General features: G+C 37.1%; 1 long non-coding RNA gene across 2 annotated transcripts in view; it reads right to left on the bottom strand.

Annotated features, from left to right (window-relative positions):
• Positions 1 to 4,305: 4,305 nt before the first annotated feature.
• Positions 4,306 to 5,864, bottom strand: part of LOC105377992 (uncharacterized) — a 61,454-nt gene continuing 59,895 nt past the window's right edge. For both annotated transcript variants that reach the window (XR_001743836.2, XR_007059742.1), the window contains one exon: positions 4,306 to 5,551. This is a non-coding gene — a long non-coding RNA (uncharacterized LOC105377992). The remainder of the gene's footprint in view (positions 5,552 to 5,864) is intronic.

Below are 5,864 nucleotides of genomic sequence, written 5' to 3'. Positions count from 1 at the left end.
CCCTCTGGATAAATTATTTCCTACTCTAATGTCATTTGACATATTAAATATTTGAATAACTATAGATGACATCTCACTATGGCAGGCTAAAGTGTGTGATGTTCCCCAAGATTTCTGCTCTAATTTCTGGGCCTGTCATTAGGTTATGTTACATGGTACAGCTAAATGTAAGAAAGGGCGATTATCCAGGTAAGCCTTATTGGATCACGTGAGCCTTTAAAAACAGGATTTTCTCCATCTGCTGGAAGAAGAGGAAAGAGATAAGCTCTGGCTGGCCTGGAAGAAAGCAAATACCCTTGTGGTGAACTGTCTATGGAAGCCACATGGCAAGGATTGGAGAAGAAACTCTAGGACCCAGGAGCAGCTGACAGCCAGCAAGGAAATGAAGCCATCAGTCCCACCACTGAAAGGAACTGAATTCTTCCAACAAGAAGAATATAGAAGAGGAACTTCCTCCACTGCCTCCAGGTGAAAACACCTTGGAAACACCTTGATTTCTAACTTGTTATACCCTGAATAGAGGTAGAACCTACACAACTGAGAGCAAATAGATGATGCTCTTTTGAGTTAAGTTTGTGGTTGTTATGAAGCAATAGAAGCTAATATACTCAGTCAGGGAAGGAGAGTTTTAAGTGAGCAAGGAAATCAGGATTAGTCAAGGAGGTGATATAGGACAAAGCAGAACTCACACTGAACTACTGACTCTCCTTCCCTGCCCCTTTCTCCTCCTTTATTCTGCGTACAGGTAAATTTCTTCAGGATGTGGTCTCTGTGCACAGGTGGGCTATACTGAGCAGGATATCCATGGGGTTGGTTCATTCAGGCCTGGACTCAAATGATTGCTCTCCCACGAGATTGCAATCGAGTTACTTAATCTCTGAGCTCCCAGTGTAATGGAGAAAGCCTCTCTTTCAATGTGTGTCCAGAGAAAATGAATGAGGTAATGTATAATAAGCATTCAAATTAATCTACTAAGAGTCATTCTGTAGAAGTTTTAACTGTACATCATTTAACACAGCAGAGACTCATGGGAAGACTAAGATTCTCAATCCACGCAGGAAGCATCATCATTGCCATGGCATCGTCCTCTATTGATATTCTCCAAGAGTCTACTTGCTTAAAATACCTTGGAATGACAGGAAGGAAGTTTCCCAATGGGCTCTTTGAAATATCTAGTGATAAGACTGAGCTCCTGGGGGAAGGGCTCCATGTTTGGTAGGCAGTTAGAAATGTTATCTGATTTTGATTTGACCTGAAGGGAATGTCATGATAGTATTCACTAACTAGATGTATTCATTAAAAAGTAAATAAAAGGTTTTTTTTGAAAAAGAAATGCAATTGCAGACATTCTTTTTTTTGTTTGTTTTATTTTGTTTTTTAGTTCACTTGTTTTAACAAGGAATTTTTTGGTGTTGATGCTGATGGTGGTAGTTATGCTCTTTGTATTTTAAATAAACACGAGATTTTGTAGTACAACCATTACCCACCCAACCATGTACTAACTGTTAAAGAAATCTTAACATGGTGTGATAATTCAAAGATAAGACCATCGGCTCAAACGAAGGAAAAACAAGACTGTAATAGTATGGTTATTGCCTCTAGTTGAGATGATCTTATCTGTTAAAATAAAAAATTGTACCCTTTGTCAAAAAAAAATGGGTAAGCAAAACATGAAAAGTATAAATTGAACTTTTGCTTCGTGTTACATCTCTGCTGTTTACCAAAATCAATTTGTTTCTGTTTGTTTTACTGTCTATCTGCTGAAAACATATCTGAATCCAATGAAAATTTAAAACATGTGATTTAAAATAGTTTGAGGAAGGAAAAAGGAAGCGTGCTGTTAAATGTTAAAACGGGTTCTGTGGTAAATTGTATACATGCACCACATCAAAAGTAAATTGAAGTTAAAATAAATAATGTTACACTGAAAGTTGAAAGAATATAGCAAATCATAAAGATGGTTGTATACTAATTGAGAGTATTTTAATTGTTAAAAGATTTAGAGAAATAAACATTGTAGATGGGAACACAGTGCTGAAAGATCAGCGCCGGTTCTGGTTTTCCTTTCTAGTGGCTTGGCACGGCGGCTGCGCTGAGCTCCAGCCCAGCTTTCGGAAAACAGAAGCAATGCTGTTCAAAGGATTAATCAGTGGCCCATACACAGGAGGCCTGGGGCCACTCATGTACAAAGCCCTAAAAGTTGGTACAGAAAACCTGTGCCTTCCATCCTTGCTGTCTTGCAATTCCGTGAAGGCGGCGGTTCTTGGCAGGCATACCCTGTAGGGTTAAGTTTGCTTCGTTTTTACCTCCCATATCTGCAGTGCTATTGACCTCACCAAACTACTTCTCTGTTCCCTTCCTCACTCTGTTGCTAGTCACCCTGTAATACAACATTAAAATGACCAATACTTCCTTTTCCATCCTGGTCTGTTTTCTTACTCATGCTGATCTACATTACATGGCTAAAAGGGCTCAAGACAAAAAGGTTGTCTTCATGAAAAAAAAAAAAATTGCCATTGTTTATCCCTCTCTTCATTCCTATTGAATTCAAATCAATAGAATTGAAAATTTTTTTTTACAATATAATCTACACATATTTGAATTGTATATAAAAAAGCCTTCTAGGCATTTGATGGAGATATATTAACATTGGTTAGGGTTTGGGCATTTTGTAAAAGAAAAATATTTTGGTTTGTGTGTGTCTTTCAAATGTATATGATATTATTTCTAAGTCCCCATCCTTTTTCTTCTTTCTTCAAAATGTACCTCGTCTTCACCTTCAAGGGGCAAATTAATTGTTAAGTACAGTCAAGGAAGGCATCAGATAGAGAAAAAATTAAAGTATTTCATATATAGGTGTATAGCCTATCAAATAAATAATTACCATCACACCTTTTAAGCATTCACCTGTGTTATGTTAAGAAATATTCTAGGTTTTATACATAAAATATCACATTTAATCCTTAAAATAACCCTGTAAAATAAGTATTAGTGGCCAGACATGGTGGCTCACTCCTATTATCCTGGCACTTTGGGAGGCCTAGGCAGGTGGCTCGCTTGAGCCCAGGAGTTTGAGACCAGCCTGGACAACAAGGCGAGACCCTGTCTTTAGAAAAAAATACAAAAATTAGCTGGGTGTGGTGGCATGCATCTATAGTCCCAGCTACTTGGGAGGCTGAGGTGGGAGGATAGTCGGAGCCTGGGAGGTCAAGGCTACAGAGCCGTGATTGTGCCACTGCACTCTAGCCTGGGCAACACAGAAAAACCCTGTGTCAAAAAAAACTGTTAGTATTTTATAAATTAGGAAAATAAGAAAAATTAAGTTTAGAGATATTTTTACCTTCACTTTTTTTCCCTAATACTATATATTGAACATCTAATTTGTGCCTTACACAGGATGATCGTTTGGAGATAAAATGGTAAGCAAAAATATTCAAGATCTATCCTTTCATTGGATTTCCAAAGGAAAAGCATCTGGTTAATAAATCAGTTATTAGGTGGCAGATCAAGTATTCAAATTCAGGACTTCCTGATGCCAAAGCCAGGACCTCACTAGTGTTTCTTTGTCAGCCTTTCTCAGTAAAGAAGAAGAAAAATAGTGTCAGAAGCTGGTCAGTCCCTTTTATATACGGCCTCCAATTGTTCCAGGTATAATTAAACCCTAAGAAGGCAAACAAATTTTCCTCCCACTTAGCATCTACTGTTAGATTCTTAGGAATACTAGCCAAACGTCATATTCTATGGTTGACTAGTGTCCAGTGGAGAGGCTATTTCAGGTCCAATAATATATTTGATCAGACATTTGGTTACCAAATAAACACATCCAGTAGTATAGATTCTGGATACATTTAGTAATTATGGATGCTGTTAATGAAAACACCATATTAACTTTTCAAAAACATTTACTTTAGTCATAAGTTTCAATTTTTGTCTGCTGACTCTATATTTTAAGTGAATTTACAAAATGTATAGATGTTTAAGTAGGATTATAAATCCAGAGCTTTTGTGTGACTTGAATCCCCTCCTGCACTTACTTTTCTGCCAAGTAAATGTGTCATACATAAGTCTCATACCTATTTAACAAAATATGTCAAAAACTTACATCATTTTTTCTGCACTCCCAAACAAGTTCAGGATAGGGAAATCATTCCATCCTAGTTGTGGCACACATGAGTCAAAAATCAGGAGACTCACACATATTTCTAGGTGACGTGATCACTTAGTCATCTACTCACAAGCAGATTAAGAGAAAGAAAAAAAAGCAAGACTTCAAAAACAAATCACCAACAGAGGCTGGAAAACCAGTTTCAGCAAAGCAAATCAACCTTTATTCTCAGGGCTAGCTACTTTCTTGTTCTTAATAAAGAACTACTCTTCCATGCCACACTTCCCAGAGGCCCAAATGACCACTCCATGTTGTCCCAGATATGATTCAATAGAGCAGTGTCTTGCTGACCCAACCTCTTACAAATGAATACCTACCTTCTATTGATAATAGCTACCCTTATATTTCCTTGAAGATAAACCAAAAACAGCACTAAAGGAATTTAGAAAATATTTATGCATGCAATCTTTTAAGTCCAGAGCTTGAATGGTATTATCTGCTTACTGAAAAGAGTAAACATTCTGGAATGTATTTTTGGTGGTTACATGAATGGCAACTTACTTGCTGCAAATATGCCAAGTGTATATTGCAAGGGCTATACATATTGCTTACTGGTTCAACATGCATTTCTTTCCAGAATGCCAAGAAATGTTGCTCTAGCTTCTGTTGGTGCTCTATTAATGCAGATGCAAGGCTAACAGCAGTCCTCTCCTTTCAAGTCACTTTGATTACATTAACCTGCATCAGTAGATATGGCACCCCATGAGTGGTACAAAATGCAGTAGTGTACTGGGAGTACCTTTAGAGCCACATTTGAACACATTATGAAATATATGCCTCCTTTTCCTAATGAAAATGGAGCCACATTTTCCTGTTCTTTCAGCCAGATGGAATTATGATTGGTGTGTGCTTGCCTTTTACATTACTATTTGATTCCATAATAAGAACCACATGAGACAATTTTATTTTATTGGTTCTTCAGTTGCCAACATGGCTTTTGTACAACTAATAAAATAAATAAAAATATTTCCCCTGTGGTTTTTCATATAAAATACATTTGTTTATGAAGGATAAGCACATACCAATCAAAACCTGATCTGGCATGAGCAATATTGTCGTGCTTTTTCTCATTAAATAGGAAGCAAAGGAGTATTTATTAGTTTCCTAATAGCACAGTTGGCTCAGACTGGCATATACCTATGTATTAGATACTGAAGGTATTTGTTTAGAGAGCAATAGGTTAGGCTGGTGTCTTGGCAAAAGTTTCAAAACCTAGTTACTAATGAAAATATATTTCCTGGGAGGGCACATAATGAAGGAAGTAAAAAGAATAAAAAGCTGCATAGCTTCTTGGTGTCCATGGTAACTGAGCCATGATCTTCTTCAGAGGGAGCTCCTGAAAAAGCACTGCTGGCATTGCATCTTCTGTACTGCAACCAAGGAAGCCTAAAATGAACCACAACAGCATGTCTAAAGTTAGTGGCCTGCCATTCATAGAGCACAGGCCAAGATTTTGAGAATGAACTGAAAGGTCACCTTTTAAGTATACTTGAATGTAACTCATACTGCCCTAAAATCTGTGATTAGTCATCAGCTTACATAAGTTCTTATTATTTAGAATATTCAAAAACAATTCATCAGTATCCCTTTCCATATACAAATGCTTAACAGAGCAATGGCTTAGGAATAAATTTGCAATAGAAATGGATTTTCTTCTTAAATATCTTTCTGAGCAAAGAACAATAGAGGACCACTTTAC

The sequence above is a fragment of the Homo sapiens genome, chromosome 6 (assembly GCF_000001405.40).
Source record: "Homo sapiens chromosome 6, GRCh38.p14 Primary Assembly".
Lineage (NCBI taxonomy): Eukaryota > Metazoa > Chordata > Mammalia > Primates > Hominidae > Homo > Homo sapiens.
Note: the sequence above shows the minus strand (reverse complement) of the source record. Positions and strands in the feature narration are given on the sequence as shown.